A 20,721-nucleotide genomic window follows, 5' to 3' on the forward strand; every position below is an offset into this window, starting at 1 on the left:
CTCCCTTTTGGGCCCCCCATCTAATTTGTTACCAAGTCACACAGATTCTATTTCTTTAGCATAGCATTCTTTCCTTACTTTCCAAGTCTACTCCTACTATCACAGTTCACCTTCACATCTTGTTTAGGTTTTAGTGGTCTGCTAACAGGCTGCATTACCTCTACCATTAAAAATGTACTGTTTGTTTACCCTTCTGTCTTAACTCCTTAAAAACAAGGACTACAACCTTTTTATATCCAACACACAGAATCCTCATGAAAGATTCATTGAATAAAATATTAATGATTTAGTGGATAAGTGAATGGATGAATGGAATGACTAACATGCTCAAATTTATATACCCCATTAACTTTGTTAATGATAGGGTAGAGAAACTAGGCCTCTTGGTTACCAATAGTCTGGGCTCCTTAGGCTATATTAGATCCTTCAGAAGTGCCTATTTTAAGGAACCCCGAAGAACATCCTTTTGAAATCTAAGTAACCACCATTTATCTATTTTGTGAGGTGGTGGTTTTGTGTATCACATTTTCTCAAACTAGGACACACCTGCCTGAGAATGGAAATGAGAACTCTAAGCTCTAATCCATAGCTCTGAAAGTAACTTGCTCTGTGACTTTGATTGAGGATAATATTACTGTTTCATCACAGATATAAAATGCCATGTGACAAATATGTGGAATTGGACTAATCCACTAGAATAGCATTAAGTTTATAAGTGCATGCTCATAAATGACTTTTCCAGTTGAGATATTAAGACTATTCCCCAAAGAACTACTTAATCTTCTGGTGAATATCCATAGCATAGAAAAGACCAATTCACTCTAAACATGAGAGATCACATATAATAAATAATCTTTCATCTTATGTTAGACATGTCTATTACTATTATATATTTTAAATATATACACCTCTATAAGCAATAACTCACATCTTTATATATGATCTTGAGGCAAGACTCCCATTTATAAAGAAAAGAATAAACTCTGTTCACTATAGTTGCAAGTCAAGTATATTTTCTTGGTTACATATTTCTTAAGAAAAGCCCTGGCCGGGCACAGTGGCTCACGCCTGTAATCCCAGCACTTTGGGAGGCTGAGGCGGGCGGATCACGAGGTCAGGAGATTGAGACCATCCTGGCTAACATGGTGAAACCCCATCTCTACTGAAAATACAAAAAAATTAGCCGGGCATGGTGGCAGGCGCCTGTAGTCCCAGCTACTTGGGAGGCTGAGGCAGGAGAATGGCGTGAACCCGGGAGGTAGAACTTGCAGTGAGCCGAGATCACGCCACTGTGCTCCAGCCTAGGCGACAGAGCGAGACTCCATCTCAGAAAAAAAGAAAAAAAAAAGAAAAGCCCTATGTGTACAGATTATACTGTATTATCCTATTAATGAGAACATTTACTAAATCAGAATATGCCATTTCTTAGGTAATGTAAAGTTATTGCCTTCTGAAAGTATATTGTTTTTACTTCCCTAATACTTTATTGTAAAAAGATTTTTTTTTCTCATGGTCACATTATAATAGCTTTTTTGAAAAGAAAAACTTTTTATTAGGAGTTATATTCTAAAAGGTAACTTTAACTTTATCCTCCCCCAAAATTCATTTTTCTCTTCCTAATAGAATTGTAAACTGTGACTATGATCTTGAAACACACTTACATTGTTTTTAAAAAAAAAAACAAAATTCCATTTCCTCAGTCATTCTCTTCTAGGCTATCTGATCTCTGCTTTTCCCTGCAAACGTAGTGTTCAGAATGTATTATAAAAATGCAATTTTCTCTTGTACTATTGAAATGAAGCAATCTTTTAAAAAAATAAATAACTTTGAACTTCAACTAGTCTGTATAGTTAAGTATTTTAGAAAGTCACAGGAAAAGTAATTTCAAAACTGTCATTTGATAGTAACTGGAGTGAATGCTGGGCATCTCTAATCCTGGTCTTTTGACAGTACCTCAAACACAACATGTCCCAAATCAAAACAATTATCTTCCCCTATGATCCCTCCCTCTGCCTCTCCCTCTCAACTCAGTTTTTCTTCTTCAGTTTCTAGTAGTATCACTATTACCAAATGTTCAGGCTACATAATATAGGGCTATTTCCAACCATTTCATCCATTCCCAAAATCAATTGGTCATTACCTAATTTGTTGATCTCATTTGTTAATCTGTCCCTCTACATATTCAATAAATATTTATTGATACCTATAATTTGTGAGGTACTGGGCTAGAAATAAGGAAATAAAAATAAGATGGTATTTTTATTCTAAATGGTCACAGTCTTATAAGAAGTCAGACATGTTAATAAACAGTCGGTGATGTGCTAGTAACTGTTTAACAGTTTTCAAAAAACAACAATAAAAAACAGATTTGTATTGTTTGCTCATTTTCATGGTGTAAATATTCCTACCAAGGCAGAGCATAGAATTGGAAAGTGATACTAACAATTAGATCTTGCAAGCTGGTGCAAGCTGACTTCAACACAACACTCTAAAAGCACTCACAGTGTAACAAGAGCTCTACTAGAGATATATGCAAAGTGCTATAAGGGGAGCACAAAAGAGGGAACTCTAGGGTACCCATGCAACGTTTCACAGGATCCTCTTGGTTCTGTGAACTTCTTTCCATTCTGAACTAAAGCTACTACTTTAGTTCAGCAAAATGCAATTGAGAGTCAGCATGATACAATTTCTTCCTGACTCAAACACCTCTGATGGGCCTCCACTGTTTGTAAGTCCAACAATTAATAAGTCCAAAATAAGACACGACAATTCAAGGAACTTTTTCATCTTGCTTGAGCTACTCTTTCAGCCTCATCATTCCTTCATACACTTCTACATGATTTATGCTTTAGAAAATATTTAGAAGTGAAAAAGGCAGATGAAATTTGACCCAGGATAAAAAAGAGAACATACATATTTGTCATAACAGTAAACCTCTTTACAAAACTTCCATTGAGTCCTGTGTATTTTCTCTGTGATATTCAAAATCCCTGTCAAACAGAATGGGGTGAAGCTTATTAATACTTTCACATCTTGCCATTATGTGTTTATGCTGTGCTTTCCCTTAGCTTGTTTTTCCTCTTCTTTTCTGGTCAATGAAACTCTAAGACTCTAGAAAAATTGTCACTTCCATGAAGCATTTCTTAATCCATAGCTAGAGTTAATAAACCTCTGTGCTACAAAGGGTATTTTAGCACAGTGATTTATATTGTAACTAAAATTTTATGTTGTCTGTCCCTCTGTAAGAGCACAGATCAGAACTGTATTATTCCCTGCTATATCCAGATGCCAAGAACAGTGCCAAGTACATAATAGGTGTCGAATTGTTCAATTAATATTTACTTAGCATGCAAAAACTTAGTTGTGAATGTCTCTTCCTAGAGTTGATAAATACATTAGAATTAGAGATTGTGTCTTACTCATCTTAGTATCCCTTACAGCATTCAGTACCTCTGACACAAGGAAGTACTTAATATATGATGTTTGCATTGGACTGAATCTTCTCTAGGCCTTTCAATCTTCTGAGCATTCAAAAACTATACACCAGTATTTATAAAATACACATATTTTTAAAAATATATAAGTAGAAATGCACCAAACAGATTGAATTGCAAAATGGGTAAAGATGAACTCTAGGCAATACAGGAAGACCAACCAGAATTTACATTGGGGAATTGTAATAAAATTAGAGTATTTCTACTGCAAAAGGGAAGAGATGTGGCTGCTTCTCTAATTGTTGCTTTTAAATGGTACTTCATTAGGTTGAGAATTGAAACCTGAGACTCACACAAATAACAAAATAGCACCACGGACAGGATTGCAGGCTCTAGACACTATTTTGCAACTTATTTGGACAGGCTTCATAGGAACACACAGGCTAAGGATTTGAATGCTCTATTGCTCTGAGGGGTTTGACTATGTACAATATATTTCATACTTAAGATTCATTTAAAAACCTAAATTTCAGAACTTGTTATTGGTCTATTCAGGGATTCAACTTCTTTCTGGTTTAGTCTTGGGAGGGTGTATGTGTCCAGGAATTTATCCATTTCCTCTAGATTTTCTAGTTTATTTGAGTAGAGATGTTTACAGTATTCTCTGATGGTAGTTTGTATTTCTGTGGGATTAGTAGGTGATATCCCCTTTATCATTTTTTATTGTGTCTATTTGAATCTTCTTTTTTTCTTTATTAGTCTGGCTAGCAGTCTATTTTGTTAATCTTTCCAAAAACCAGCTCCTGGATTCACTGATTTTTTGAAGGGTTTTTCGTGTCTCTATCTCTTTCAGTTCTGCTCTGATCTTAGTTATTTCTTGTCTTCTGCTAGCTTTTGTTTGCTCTTGCTTCTCTGGTTTTTTTAATTGTGATGTTAGGGTGTCAATTTTAGATCTTTCCAGCTTTCTGATGTGGGCATTTAGTGCTATCAATTTCCCTCTAAACACTGTTTTAGCTGTGTTGAAGAGATTTTGGTATGCTGTGTCTTTGTTCTCATTGGTTTCAAAGAACTTATTTATCTTATTTATTTCTGCCTTAATTTTGTTATTTACCCAGTAGTCATTCAGGAGCAGGTTGTTCAGTTTCCATGTAGTTGTGCAGTTTTGAGTGAGTTTCTTAATCCTGAGTTCTAATTTGATGGCACTGTGGTCTGAGAGACTGTTATGATTTTCGTTCTTCTGCATTTGCTGAGGAGTGTTTTATGTATAACTATGTGGTCAATTTTAGAATAAGTGCGATGTGGGTGCTGAGAAGAATGATTTCGGGTGGAGAGTTCTGTAGATGTCTATTGGGTCTGCTTGGTCCAGAGTTGAGTTCAAGTCCTGAATATCCTTGTTAATTTTCTGTCTCGTTGATCTGTCTAATATTGAGAGTAGAGTGTTAAAGTCTCCCACTATTATTGTGTGGGAGTCTAAGTCTCTTTGTAGGTCTCTAAGAACTTGCTTTATGAATCTTGGTGCTCCTGTATTGGGTGCATATATATTTAGGATAGTTAGCTCTTCTTGCTGCACTGATCTCTTTATCATTATGTAATACCCTTCTTTGTCTTTTTTGATCTTTGTTGGTTTAAAGTCTGTTTTATCAGAGACTAGGATTGCGAACCCTGCTTTTTTATTTTTTTCTTTCCATTTGCTTAGTAAATATTCCTCCATCCCTTTATTTTGAGACTATGTGTGTCTTTGCATGTGAGATGGGTCTCCTGAATACAGCACACTGATGGGTCTTGACTCTTTATCCAATTTGCCAGTCTATGTCTTTTAATTGGGGCATTTAGCCCATTTACATTTAAGGTTAATATTGTTATGTGTGAATTTGATCCTGTCATTAGCTAGCTGGGGTTTTTACCCGTTAGTTGATGCAGCTTTTTCATAGTGTCAGTGGTCTTTAAAATTTGGTATGTTTTTGCAGTGGCTGGTACTGGTTTTTCCTTTCCATATTTAGTGCTTTCTTCAGGAGCTCTTGTAAGGTAGGCCTGGTGGTGACAAAATCTCTCAGCATTTGCTTGTCTGAAAAGGATTTTATTTCTCCTTCGCTTATGAAGCTTAGTTTGGCTGGATATGAAATCCTGGGTTGAAAACTCTTTTCTTTAAGAATGTTGAATATTGGCCCCTACTCTCTTCTGGCTTGTAGGGTTTCTGCAGAGAGATCTGCTGTTAGTTTGACAGGCTTCCCTTTGTTGGTAACCCGACCTTTCTCTCTGGCTGCCCTTAAGGTATATTTTGTACGAAGTTCATCTTGGAGAGTACATCAGAAAATAACAGCTTCAAAGACAAATGTCTATAAGTATTTTATTGATGGTTTTTGTTTTGCTTTGTTTGAATGTGTGGGTGTTTTATTTCATGGCATAGGGCAAGCAACTGATCACACCTGCTTATTTTATAAATTTCAGGCTAAAGCTGTACAATCATGATCTATACTACAGAGCTTTGGAAACTTGATTGTTCAATCACGTCTATGCAACAAATTATTGGGAATGAGTTCAGGTCCTGCCTGGGTACTCCCTCATTAGGGGTATCCATCCATTCAATTGAATGTCCATGCTATTCTGAATCTCCACAAAGAGCACACCTGGCTTGGCTAAGAGGTGAAGCACACTGCTCTGCACTTGCATGTGGACATACAATAACCACATTCCAGCTATTTTTCAGAAAGTTTAACTCTGAACCTATTGTCATTCGGTATTAATCAAAACCTTGACTTAAAGAACAGGTATAGAAGATTGCTTAAGGGAACACAACAAACACATCTTTTCCTTTAAAACTCTATTCCTATATTGCACCAGCTGTGGGATCAGATCATTTTGACTTCTCATATAATTGTTACACACTGAGGTGATACCATAAGCATCTTAAAAGGAATATTCTAAGAAACTGGTAGTTATTGAGGACAGTGAATGCTGGATCACATAGTGTCTTCATTTGAGATCCATGAGGGAATTTTCTATTAGGTATCAGGAAAAGTTGGGCTTTTTGTGAGCAACTAATTTGCTTGTCATGGACACTGTCAGTCATATAATTTGATTGGGTGGAAGTCTAAAAGCTGAGTAATAATGTGGCTACCCATAACAAAAGTACAGGATTTCATGGCATGCATTTTATTGTTTAGAGCCTCATTTGCTCTCTGTCTTGATTTCCTCATTCACTTTATTTTATTATATTGCATAAATTTTATAAATGGCCTTACATTTTTACTAAAAAAGGAAGTTTAAAATAAATAAATGAACACAACAATGACAATGTTGTAAACTTTTACAAAAATGTAGAGTTAACTTATACATATTAACAGGTATTTTAACTATTATAGTGTTAGGTAACTACAGATACTTTTTGTTACATGCACTCTTAAAACAATGAATGTTTAATAATCACAAAATCATTATTTTCGCACAATTTCAATTTGCTATTTAAACTTATAAAATACTTGTAAAAATTTTTGCTTTATTCAATAAACTGTATCAATGCAAGTCCTACTTTAAAATCAGTGCTGTGGGCTCATGTAATTCATTTATTTTAAAAATATAATCATTTTTCTATTGAATTCAGCTTTCGCAACAGGATAAAGAGCAAGTTTTGAAACACAACAAATTAGCATACTATCAAGATTTGTTAGCCCTGGTACTCCTTAGACTAATATAGATAGAAAGAGTTAACCAGTTTTTCTTTTCTTATATTATTTCTGATTGGCCTGACTCTGAGTACACTATGCTTAACAAATAAAATTCTCTGCATATGAAACAAAGACTTAAAAAGACAAATTACTGTTTTGGCAAATATTCATTCTCAATTAAAATTCATGTGAGTTGCTTCATGTACTGTTTGTACAACTAATGTCTCAAATGTGACATGACTATAACAGAACTATGGCAGTGTAAGCTGGTAAGTCAAGTTGATAAATGCTGTTCATTGCAATGCCTACTGTTTATGAACTCCTCAGGTTAATTCGTGTTCCAAATATTAAGTAGCTCTTTTGTATATTAATGTACGTCAGGAGCCAACAAAAGTTTTGCTATTGAGAGAAAATAATTTTCAAAAGAAACTATGAAATAATATAAGTCAAAGTTCTATTAAACTACTTCTGTCGTTTTAGAAAGGGCAAGATGAAACAAATTATAAATGAACATCTTTTATCCTCTGACCTAGCAATTTTACCTCTAGAAATTAGTTCCAAGGTAAAAACTTGTACAAACATTTATGTATAAGTCTGGTCTCTGCAACATCCTCTTATATAAAAATTAGAAAAAAATCAACAGTAGGGGAATGGTTAGTTAATCCATATGCTGGAACACTATGCAGCTGTTAACAACCATGTTATGGAAATATATTTAATGATATTAGAGAAGACCACAATATATTTTTTAATTTAAAAAGGATGTTACAAAGTAGTAATGATTATATAATCTTAATTTTATTTTTATAATATATATATAAAAAGACAATGGTTTGAGGTCAGGTCAAAATGTTTATTTTACAGTGTTTATTTCTGAGAAGTAGGCAAACAAGAATAGTTTTAAAATTTTTAGTCTATTAGGTCTTGACTCTTTTCCATAATTTTTCTTCTTTTTTTTTTGGAGGTGGAATAGGGGTAATAAACATGGACTACTTTAGTAATTAGGAAGAAAACAATGAAAGTGTTATTTTTATAACTTACATTTAAAAATGTTTGATTTTAATACTCACGGAACAGAGATGTCTTCTTTAGTTTGCCTAAATTCACTTGTGAGAAATTGGAGATTTGGGGGTCTGGGGAGAGAGGCAATATAAAAAAAGTGTAGGTTGACTCATACTAAAATAAATATGGCATTTATCACAGGAAGGAAGCAAGTGAACTGTTTCTTTTTTTTTTTTTTTTTTTTTTTTTTTTTTTTGAGACGGAGTCTCGCTCTGTCGCCCAGGCTGGAGTGCAGTGGCGGGATCTCGGCTCACTGCAAGCTCCGCCTCCCGGGTTCACGCCATTCTCCTGCCTCAGCCTCCCGAGTAGCTGGGACTACAGGCGCCCGCCACTACGCCCGGCTAATTTTTTGTATTTTTAGTAGAGACAGGGTTTCACCGTTTTAGCCGGGATGGTCTCGATCTCCTGACCTCGTGATCCACCCGCCTCGGCCTCCCAAAGTGCTGGGATTACAGGCGTGAGCCACCGCGCCCGGCCGCAAGTGAACTGTTTCTAAGAAAACAACCAGAAAAATGGTGAAGTGCTATTTAGACACTTCAGTGTTGGCAATCAAGGTTTGAAGTAAGCATAATTTCCCAGGATTACCCTTAACGTGTTTTCTATTTGGGGATATAAAGCGAATCAACAATGCACTCTTCCTCTGCAATAAGGAGCATGGGTTTGTTGGTTGCCATTAAAGCCTGAGGACTCAGACTCATTGCTTGTTGATAACTATTATTGCTCCATTTTTGAGTTCCATCAAACAAGAGAAAAAAAGTCTTTACAGAGTTTATACTGAGGATATGCGTAATTCTTGACCCTGAAATGTGATACCTATAGAATCTAAGAGTTTACTGGGAAAACCATCTGCTCCGCAAAGCTAGGTGTCCCAAATAAGAGAAAAGTTAGAAAAAGTTTGTATTATTTACGTGACTAGAAATGTGTTATAAAGACTTTTGCTTTTCAGCCTGAATCTAGTGAAGACAGAAGTAGAAGTTATTCACGTATAATCTCATCCAGTCTGGTATTAATGAAAATGGATAAGCTAAAGTCCATTCCTATTGATCAGATGGAGAAATCAGAAAAAAAGATATCTAACATCTTCAATCATTCAGCGTATTTTTTCAATCAATATCTCAGTTCAGTCTTAGTGCTATTTGCATATTACATAAAAATGCAGCACTTAACAAATTTAAATCTCTTATCCTTTTTCTGAAAAAAAAAATGGCATCATCAATAAACATTTGCTGAAGGTTTGACAGACACTGGTCACTCAGAATGTGGTCTGTGGTCCAGCTGCATCACATCACATGGGAGTCTGTCATAAATGTAGAATCTCAGGCCCCACCCCAGACCAGCTGAATCACAATTTTCAATTCAACAAGATCCCCAGGTGTTTTCTATGCACAGTACATGGATGTTTGAGAAGCACTGTTTTAAGAGCATTTTTCAAGTATTGGAGATACCAAAAAGGTGTAAAGAGACTTCTCTAGTTAGTTCCTAGACTAGGAAGTAAATATACATAAAAGATAAACTATACAAGAAGCATATGACAACTGCCAGGTGAGAGGTGTAGACAATTAACGGCATAGGAGTTTGAAGGAAGGCAAAGGTCACTCAAGATTGGGGCAGCTGGAGACATCTTAAAGGAAAGACAGTATAGCTGGCCCTCTGTATCCGCAGATTCTGTATCCGTGAACACAAACAATCTGGGATCAAAAAATATTTTGAAAAAAAATTGCACCTATACAGAACATATACAAACTTTTTTTCTTATTATTCCCTGAACAATATAGTATAACAAAATTTACATAGCATTTACATTGTATTAGGTATAAGTAAACTAGAGATGATAAAGGAAGATGTGCATAGATCATATGCAATTACTACACTATTTTATATCAGGGACTTGAGCATCTCAGATTTTGATATCTGAGGGGTCCTGGAACCAATCTCCCTCAAATACCGAGGAGTACTTTACTTGGAAAATAAGAAAAAAGGGAGTATGGTAATACTCAACCCTCCTTTGCATAAGTTTACTCTGTAACAGTTCTGTAAATTTTATATACCTAGAGCTCTTGGTATGGTTATTGTGTGGAGAAAAACTATTTGGTCTGAACAACTTAGTTATGGTAACTTGAAAACAGTATGCATGATGTACAAATATACAGCCTTCTGTGAATAAGGCCAGGCTGTTTTCCCCAAACTGTGTGTATTTCATTTTTTAAACAAATATATTAAATTTAGGATTTATTTAGAATGCAGGAAAACTCCTTTTTGAAGCACTCCTGAAAGGAATTCTTTTGGAAAATATAGAATTATTTTATAATATGAATAGTCAATTCCTGAAATATATATACCGTGAGTTAATATTTTCATTATATTTCAATTAAGTGCTTTTAAAAAGATCATGCTTGGCCAGGTGCAGTAGTTCATACCTGTAATCCCAACATTTTGGGAGCTGAGGCAGGAGGATCACTTAAGGCCAGGAGTTTGAGACCAGCCTGGGCAATACAGTGAGACCCCATCTCCACAAATAATAATAATAATAAAGATCATGCTTGTACATACTTACTATCTGGAGCTAATGGTTATTGTTTTGCTACAGTGTCACTAAACAAAAATCAACATACAAAGGTGAAAGGGTGGCACATGTCTGCTGATTACATTTAAGGGCCCCCAAAGTCTCTCTTTTTGTCCTTGCAAGTGGTAGGATTGTTTCACTGCGATATAAATAAAACGCCTTAGTAATTACATCCTGAGAACACCATGGCTCAGTACTATTCATGCCAACTTAACTGAACTGAAACATGGCACTGGTGTCAGTGGCTTTTACTTATTGATGGATTTGTAAGGTGGCAGGCTCTTTCATGTCCAAAAGCGGTAGTTTCCCAGGGTCTCAAGAAGATTTAAAAATATTTTCCTTCCATCACAACACAAAGCCTACTGACTTTAAGTAATGCTGCTGAGGGTTAACATTTGAAACTGACAAGCAGCACATGTGTATTACAGAGATAAGGCCTGGCACATGTTGCTGCAGCCTCCTGAGATTTTGAAATGCTAGCAGCTCCAGCTGGTGGCTATGCTCCATTCCTAATGTGCACTTTTTAGGGAAACTTGAGCCCCTCCTTCTGACTGTGATAGGGACATGTCTGATTGGAATAGGGTTATTTTTAAAGATATTCAGAACAACGAACATATTTATTCTAAGAATAAAAAGAGAGTGGAAAGAAATAAAAGAGGTAAAATGTTAAGCTGAGATCTTAAAGAAAACAGTATCACTTGTTAAAAAAAAAGAAAAATAGTGAATGCAGCCAAAGAGCAGTTAAAAAAAAATCACTAGGGAAGAATAGTTTTAAAAAGAAAAAAGAAAAAATGAAGGAACTGAAAGGCACTTTTTATGAGAATCATTCAGATAAACATACTGAAAAATAGCGAGGCAAAAAAGACTGATACAAGGAGTAGGGAAATGAAAATGAGTTAAGGAATGGGGAAACAAAAACCAGTTGAATTCCAAAATGAAATAAAAACATAGAGATTAAAAAAAGAAAAAGTACACTATGGAAGAAGACAGCTATCAAAATTTCTCAATCCCTATGGGGGCTAAGGTGGCACACATGGAATGGAAGGCAAGGGACAAGAAGGTGGGTTTGGAAGTAGACAGGGCGACATAGTTCTGTTTAAATAATATTGATAGGAGCCCACTGGTCTGGACTGAACTCCTTCCTGCAAAAGGCCCAACACACCAAACCAAAATGGAGTCACAGATGGTAAAGTTCCATGTTACCAAGCCAAAACTCAGTTTATCTGACTTTCTGAGAGATCAGGAGAGTGAGAGATAATAGCAAAATCTTCAAGTTTTAGCTGGCATGATAAGAAAATCCTCTCTGCTTTAACCTTTACAAGGAAATTAATTTTGAAATAACCAACCCACTTTTTGTTTTCTGTTTCTGCTTTCCTCAGTCCTTTTGTGACTATAAAACCAACTGCTCAGCTTATTGGGGCACTCATTCTATTTTACAGAATGAGGTGTTGCCCAATTCTAGTATCACAAATAAAAGTCAATTAAGATCTTTAAACTAAATTTGTTGTAATTTTGTCTTTTGACAATTCTTAGCTGTAATAGAAGATGCTAAGGCCAGAGAAGCAGGCAAAGTCAAAACTAAATTCAAAATGTTAGGGGCAGAGTCAGAAAAAGTACCTAATCCAAAAGGATACTTAGGCAAATATCCTCAAAGAGTTAAAATTCCATGGGTGACAGTTTCATGATTGGTTACTGAAGTTAACTGGAATATTATACAACTAATCTTTTGAGGTTGGTGTTTAGAATGTTACCACTCTCATCTACAACATATATATTAGTACTATTATCACAGACAGAAATCATGGAGAACAGACCAGAGACTAACTCAGCAGCAGAATTATATTCTTAAATGCTTTAAGGGCATTCAAAACATGTTTTTTGCATTATATGCAATTATAATTTGGAAATATATTCTTGACATTATAAAACACAAACAATTCAAGATGGAACCAGGTAGAACAGAGTTAAGATGCTGGCTTTTTAATAAGAATATGTCTTTTGGAAACAATAAAAAGATACTTTTAAAATTCTTTAATTTTATTTTAGAGACAACAATCTTGCTCTGTCACCCAGGCACAATCATAGCTCACTGCAGCCTCAAACTCCTGAGCTCAAGGGATCCTCCCACCTCAGCTTCCTGAGTCGCTGGGACTACAGGCATGTGCCACCACACCTGGCTTATTTATTTATCTACTTATTTATTTATTTTTATATTTATTTTTCCCAGCTGGTTTTGAATTCCTGGCCTCAAGTGATCCTCCCATCTCAGCCTTCCAAAGTACTGGGATTATAGGCATGAGCCACTATGTCTGGTCAAAAGATACTTTTTTAAAAAGGTTTTAAAATTAGGTTCTTTGAGCCTCATTTCTCCAACTATAAGATGAACATCAGAAAGTTTACCTTGAAGGGAACTGAGGATTAGAGCAAATCGTTATCAAGTTTCTGGGTCATTAACTGGATATAGCAGTCATAACAAATAGTTCATGAGATGTGTATTTAAACAATACAGAATGGACATTTAATTCATCTTTTACTAACACTCATTCTCTCAAAAATATATACTGAGTTCTTACTATGTACCAGACACTTTTCTGAATATATCAGTGAAAAACCAAAAATCCTTTCCTTCCAAGAGCTTGCATGCTAGTGAAAGGAAACAAAAAATAAGTGTGTTCAATAGTAAATGGTATAGTATGTTTAGAAGCTAATACTTACTTGTTACAGAAGAAAGTAAAACCAAATATAGTAGGATAAGTAATTGAGTGTTAGGCTGTTACAACTATAAATGTGGGTGGGAAAAGGTAGGCTTTGATCTCTTTGAGAATGAGATATTCAAGCACAAATACTACTAAGCACAAATAACTGAGGTAACTAAGTACCAATTTGGATTTCTGCGAATAAATTGTGGATGATATATGGATGGTGTTTCATTGTTGTTACTGTTATCCAAAGGCATAAGAAAGCTAAATTTGCTGGAAGAATCTTATCTTGAAATATTCTTACAACTATATTCTATTCTTCATGCTATTCTTAACTTCTCTTTGGCCTATCACAGAACAGTATTTGTTTAAAGCGCAACCATTTCTTTTGACCATGTAGCAGCAGCACTCATTAATGCCATGTTCAAGGTTATCAATCTTCAGACAGGCTTCCTTCTCAAAGCACTCCCCATCTCTCATATTGCTTCCTTATTCTCACAGTACTTATTTTACTCATTTGTTGTCTGTCTTTCTATTAGAACAAAAACTTTGTGAGAAAAGGGATTTTTTTGTGCCATTACTGCAGTATCCGCATGCTTGGCATTGTCTGACACATAAAAAGCACTTGATACATGGTTGAATAAATAAAAGCGGTAAGTAAGAATTAGTTTTAGAAAAGAACCACAGTGTAGAAAATCATTAGGATACTTTCACAATTAATAAAGGCTTGAAATTTAGAGATTTAATATTTGCAACTTCAACTACTTAAGAGAAATTCTAAAAGTATGTGATGTGCACTAATTTGTAATACTGCAGAGGCTGGTGAGTGGGAGCAAATCACTCAGCTAGTGAGTGCATCCTACCAAGCTGCTCACATAACATGAGGCTCTGTCATTCTCTACTGACGACTGAGCATACGGCTACGCAGCAAGTTATTTGCTAGAATGGTATGAAAACTGGAGATTCAAGATCCCAGGATGCAGTCCTCTTGTATATAAAAGCCTTTGATATACTTGTTATAATTAGAGAAAATATTTTATATAATAAGATGCTGATTCCTAATCTAACAGTATAGAGGTAGCCTGATAGAGTAGCCAGAGTACAGAACGGGGTTAGGAAATTTGTGCAGATTTGTCTTAAGCTGAGTGAGTGACCTGGACAGATCACTTCATGTTTTCATGATTCTGTTTTTTCATAGATAAAATGGAGTTACAATAATATAAGTAAATAAGAGTACCTATATTTCACCATATTAGCCTTAGGACCAAAATGAAATGTTCTATATTTAACTGCTTTATAAATTGAAAAAGATTTTTGGAAAAATATAATACTTGTCAAAATAAAAACTATGCTTTTAGATTTTATTTAGAAAAATTTCAGGTTTATGAAATTTATTTATGAAATTTCTATTCATATTCATATTTAAGTGTGTAATTCTGGATGATTCATTTCTGATGTCTAGTTAGCTCTATAATCATGACTAAAAACTGTGTATTAATTAAAAACTACTCTGTGTGTGTGTGTGTATTCTTAGATGTCAACATTCTCTAGGAGAAAAATAAGACAAAACAAGAAAATACCTAAAGATCAAATGTACACATGGCACAAAGATAGACATATGGATTAATGGAATAGAATTGAGAGCTCAGAAATAAATATATACATCCACTTTCAACTGATTTTCAACAAAGTTGCCAAGGCCAACCAATGGGGGAAATAATAATCTTTTCAACAAATAATGTTTCAACAGCTGGATAGCAATGTGCAAAAAAATGAAGTTCAATCCTTACCTCACACCATATACAAAAATTCACTCAAAATGAATAAAAGGCCTAAAAGCAAGACCTACAATTTTAGAACTCTTAGAAGACAACATAGGAGTAAAACCTTTATGATGCTGGCTTTGACAAAGGATTCTCAGATATGACACCAAAAGTATAAGCAATAAAAGCAAAAAATAGATAAATTAGACTTAATCTAAGTTAAAAAACTTCCTGCTTCAAAGGACACCAACAAGAAAAGTAACAGACAGCCCACAGAATGGGAGAAAATATTTGCAAATTATATCTCTGATAAGGGACTTTTATTGATAACATATAACTCTTACAAGTCAATAATAAAAATGACTTAATTTAAAAATAGGCAAAGAACTGAATAGGTATTTCTCCATGGAAGATATACAAATGGCCAATAAGCACATAAAAAGATACTCGATATCACTAGTCAATAGGGAAATGCAAATTAAAACCACAATCAGACATCACTTCACACCCACTGAGATGGCTAGAATTAAAAAGTCATACTAACATATACTGGTGAGAATATGGAGAAGTGAGAACCCTCAAATACTGCTAGTGGTAATGTAAAATGGTAAATGGTGCAGCCATTTTGGAAAAAACTCTACTAGTTTTTCAAATGATTAAACACAGTTACCATATAACTCAGCAATACTACTATTAAGAATATACTCAAGATAACTGAAAACATATATTCCCACAAAAACTTGTACACAGTGTTTACAGCAGCATCAGTCATAATAGCCAAAAGATAGAAACAACCCAAACGTCTATCATTTGATGAAAGAATAAACAAAATCTGGTATATCCATACAATGGATTATGATTTAGCCATAAAAAGGAATAAAGTACTGAATGCATGATACAATGTGGATGAACCTTAAAAATATTATGCTACATGAAAAAGGCCAGTCATGAAAGACCACATATTATATGATCTCATTCATATGAAATGTCCAGAACAGGAAAATCTATAGAGATAGAAAGTAGATTAGTGATTGCCTAGGGCTGAGGGTGAGGTGGGAAGTAGGCAAATGATAGCCAAAAGGTATAGGGCTTGTTTTTGAAGTGATGAAAATATTCTAAAATTGTGGTGATGGAAACCACTGAGCTATATGTTTTTAAACAAGTGAATCATATTGGTATGTGAATTACACCTCAATAAAGCTGTTAAAAATCACATGTATAGACCTTGCTCAATTTTTACACAAAGATTTTCTTATTTTCCTTTTTAAAAAGACTTCTCTGAAAGAATTAAATTACCAGACAGGCCACCTAGGTAATTATAAAACAAAAAAGATGTTCTTACATTGACTTGTATTTCGATTTCATAAAATGTGACTAATAATAATAATAATACTTAAACGTACTTAAAGCTACATGTGTCTACATCATATTATGTCTATTTTTCATTTATCACAAATAAGGCCACTGAACCTTGAAACCTTGGCCAGTATCATACTGTTTAAGAGTGCAGAGTATCATTAAATAGTGATAATTATAATAACCTCTATTACAAGAGTGACAATAATGTTAGCTAACACTTATTAAGTATTCACTATGTTCTAGAAAGTTTACATAAATTATCTCACTTATTCTTCACAATAATAATTCCATGAGGTAGATATCATTATTATTACAATTTTACAAATGAAGAAACTAAAGTTTTCAAAGGATACCACACTTGCCAAGAGCAAAGCTACTGAGTGGTGGAGGTAGGATTTGAACTTAGATAGATAACAGAACCCAGGGTCTTTTTTATTATTATTATTATTATTATTATTATTATTATTATTATTATTTTTAAATTGAGATGGAGCCTCACTATGTTGCCCAAGCTGGTCTCAAACTCCTGGGCTCAAGTGATCCTCCCGCCTCAGCCTCCCAAGTAGCTGAGTCTAAAGTGTATTTCACCATGCCCAACAGCACCCAGGGTCTTAACCACTTTGCTATACTTGTTGGTTCCTATTGTCTACAAAAATAAAAATCATGTACCACATTTCCCAGAGCTGCAACTTTCAAAACTGCACATTATAACTCTAAGCCATATAAAGGTAAAAGGAAAAGGTATAATTCACCAAAAGTACTAAAAGTTTACTCAGCCAAAATTCAGAATTTTAGAGTTGGAAGGAGAAGCATAAATCATTTAGTTTGATGACAACTTAGTGCAAATGATAAAACTGAAAGACTTTGGCCTAACTCTTCAGGTTTTAGGAAATAAAGGAAATTCAATGATGATGAGTTTTCCACAGGTATGACTGATATAGAACTTATTAATTCATTATTAATTCATTCACCTATTCATTAGTTATTTTTCATCTCAGTCAACAAATATATACTGAAAGTCAACTACACACCAAGCACCCTGCTAGGTTACAAACTCCAGAAAGTAAAAAATGAGTATGACGGTCCCATTCTTCAAGGGGCTTATGGTCTGGACTGGTGGGGGTGGGGGAAAAGGTGTAAAATAAGAATTCTTATTTTATATATCACTATATAACGTGATAAGCAATACTCAATAAACATGGCAGGGAGTTATTCTGTTGGAAACATCCGGGAGGGCTTTACCAAGAATATCATTAAATTAAGAGATAAGCAATTATTTCCAAGAAGATATCTTCCCTCCAGGAAGAGGGTAGAGGAATTTAGCCTTGAGTGGTTGGAAATTCAAGTCATTTAGAATTGCTTGGAGCATAGCCAGTGAGGGTAAGAGACTGTGTTAAGCACATCTTTTTATTCTGATGTTTTAACATCTGGGGCCTTATTGACCCTGAGGAGACTGTCCCTCCCAAGGCCAGCCATCTTCTAGAGATAATAAAGGGCTCCCCTGTGAGATTGCCTTTCATATGCAAACCAACCAGGTCAGACCCCATCCACTCCAACCTCCTCTATCAGGCTCTTACAATCTGGATCAATATTCCCCTGCCCTAATTTCCTCAGGGACAGGGTCAGACAACTTAGAACAGCCCTGTACACCCTACAGTCCACTGAAATTATTCAAACTAGCCAATCCTGAACTTGTTAGCCCTTCCTCACCCATTCCTTCCCAAGGAAATCACAATAGAAGCTCTTGCCCATATTTCCCCCTATTCTTCTGTTTCCTGACCCACCCTCATGTTTCCCTGTGTGGCCCTGCATGTGCAGTGTGCACTGTCCTCTTGGGGATTGTAGCTATCTTTTCAATGGCAATCATCTGATGCATTGGCCTCACCATCCCTGAATGATAATAAAACTGACATTATAAACAAAGATTCAAGCCTGGGTGCCATGGCTCACATCTGTAATCCCAGCACTTTGGAAGGCTGAGACAGGAGGATCCCTTGAACTCAGGAGTTTGAGACCAGCCTGGGCAACATAGAGAGACCCTATCGCTACAAAAATTTAAAACATGGGCCAGGTGTGGCGGCACGCACTTGTAGTCCCAGCTACTTGGCAGGCTGAGGCAGGAGGATCACTTGAGTCTAGGAGGTAGAGGCTGTAGCAAGCTATGATAATATCACTGCACTCCAGCCTGGGTGACAGAGCGAGACTGTCTCAATAAATAAATAAATAAATAAAACAAAGATTCAGTAAATTCTGCTACATAGACAGAAAGGGGCAAGACCATGTAAAGTGTTGTCTGAGGAGTTTTAACTACTCAGGAGACATTGGGAGCCACAGAACAGTGTTAAGCAGGGGCATAATATGACTAGATTTACATTTTAAAAAGATTACTCAGGCAGCAGTGTGGTTACAGAATTGCAGTGAAGTAATTCTGAAGGTATGGAGACTAATTAGGAGGTTATGGTATAAAACAGTCGGGAAGTGATGAAAATCTCAATTAAGGTAGGGGAACTGGAAATGGACAGAAAGGAATATTTACGAGATGGTGAGAAGGTATCTTGAAGGACTTGATTGACTATAATGGGTTGGGGAAAGGCAAAAGCAAAGACACACTTCAAGGTTTCTGGCTTAGCTGACTGTGGCTGGTAATGAATTTATGGAGATAAGAAAAGAAGCACAGAAGCAAGTTTGCAAGGAAGGAGAATGGGATCTGCTTGCCTGTAGGATTGTTCTTGTAGAGATACTAATAGCCAGTTAGAAACATGGATCTGGTGCTCAGGAGGTGTTCTTAGACTGGAAACAAGATTTGAGAGTTACCAGCCTACTGGTGGTGGTTAAGGTCATAAAAGTGGATAGAATTATCAAAGGAAGACATGCAGAAAAATATCAAAGTTCAGGTTGAAAACAGAATTCCAAGAAACACCACAACTTAAAAGGCAGGTAGGGAAATGGTGTTTGCAAAAGAAAATGGATGTGGTAAGATAATCTGGGGAGTCTGGCAGCAGCAGCAGCAACAATGGCATAATCATCACCATCATCACCAGATGGCTAATATTTCTTCAGCATTACTATGTTTCCCACATTATGTCATGTGTTTTACATGTATAGTTCATTTGCTGCACATAGTAACTGATAGTTTGGATATTTGTCCCTGCCCAAATCTCATATTGAATTGTAATCTCCAGTGCTGGAGGTGAGGTCTGGTAGGAGGTGTTTGAATCATGGGGGCAGATCCCTCATGAATGGCTTGGGCCATCCCTTTGGTGATAAGTGAGCTCTCACTCTGAGTTCAAAGGCGATCTGGTGGTTTAACAGTGTATGGCACCCCCCTCCCCACCACCAACTCCTTTGCTTGCTCCTGCTTTTGCCATGTGACATGCCTGCTCTTGCTTTGCCTTTTGACATAACAGTAAGCTTCCTGATGCCTCCCTATAAAACCATGAGCCAATTAAATCTCTTATTTATAAATTACCCAGTCTCACGTATTTCTTTATAGTAATGTAAGAACAGCCTAACACAGTAACTCAGTGAGGTTTAAGAGATGATGACATAGGCCTACAGAAGTTAAGTAAGGCCTATAAAATTGTTCTCCTTTGCAATCTCTCTAAAGCATGGCTTCTTAAACTGCTATAATGTGTCCATTGAAGAATGATGAGGTTAATAACTTTGAAAAGGAGAGCTTATTTCTCATTAAGGGTTGTAGTCTGAAGGGTGGCCATACCAACAGGCTAGGAAGCATAATCTCTGGCCAGAAGCCAGAAACATGCAATTGGAGGGAGGGGTAAAGGGAACAGAAATTTATGCTGAGCAGTTTGGCTAAGTATAAATATTCAATGGGTTATAGGAGGAGCTATGAATATTCATGAAGTAATGGCATGGGTATGCACAGTAGGCCAATGTGTATGAAACATGTGTCCCATTGAGAGAAGAGAAAGGAAGAAGCTGGTCAGGCAGGCGGGCAGGGAGGGTGGGTCCTCAGTTGAATCCTTTCAAACAAAAGAACAGCCTGCAGGCACAGGTAAGGGAACTGCACAGGATGGCTTGCCTAAGACATGCCCACAGCCCCACTGATAAGAAAGGCTACACAAGTGACTTGCCCAGTCAGGCTTGCAATGGAAAATTCCATCCCCTGACACATGTGCAGTAAGGGGAACAAAGAAATATGGAGTAAGTCAAGCT

General features: G+C 35.9%; 1 protein-coding gene across 3 annotated transcripts in view; it reads right to left on the bottom strand.

The window, feature by feature from the left end:
- NME7 (NME/NM23 family member 7) overlaps positions 1 to 20,721 on the bottom strand; it is a 235,267-nt gene that overhangs the window by 49,943 nt on the left and 164,603 nt on the right. The window contains exon 11 of one of the 3 annotated variants that reach the window (NR_104229.2): positions 8,170 to 8,232. The exons of the other annotated variants lie outside the window; for them this stretch is intronic. The gene's annotated coding sequence lies outside the window, so the exon portion shown is untranslated. The remainder of the gene's footprint in view (positions 1 to 8,169; positions 8,233 to 20,721) is intronic. 3 annotated transcript variants of the gene reach the window in all.

The sequence above is a fragment of the Homo sapiens genome, chromosome 1 (genome assembly GCF_000001405.40).
Source record: "Homo sapiens chromosome 1, GRCh38.p14 Primary Assembly".
NCBI lineage: Eukaryota > Metazoa > Chordata > Mammalia > Primates > Hominidae > Homo > Homo sapiens.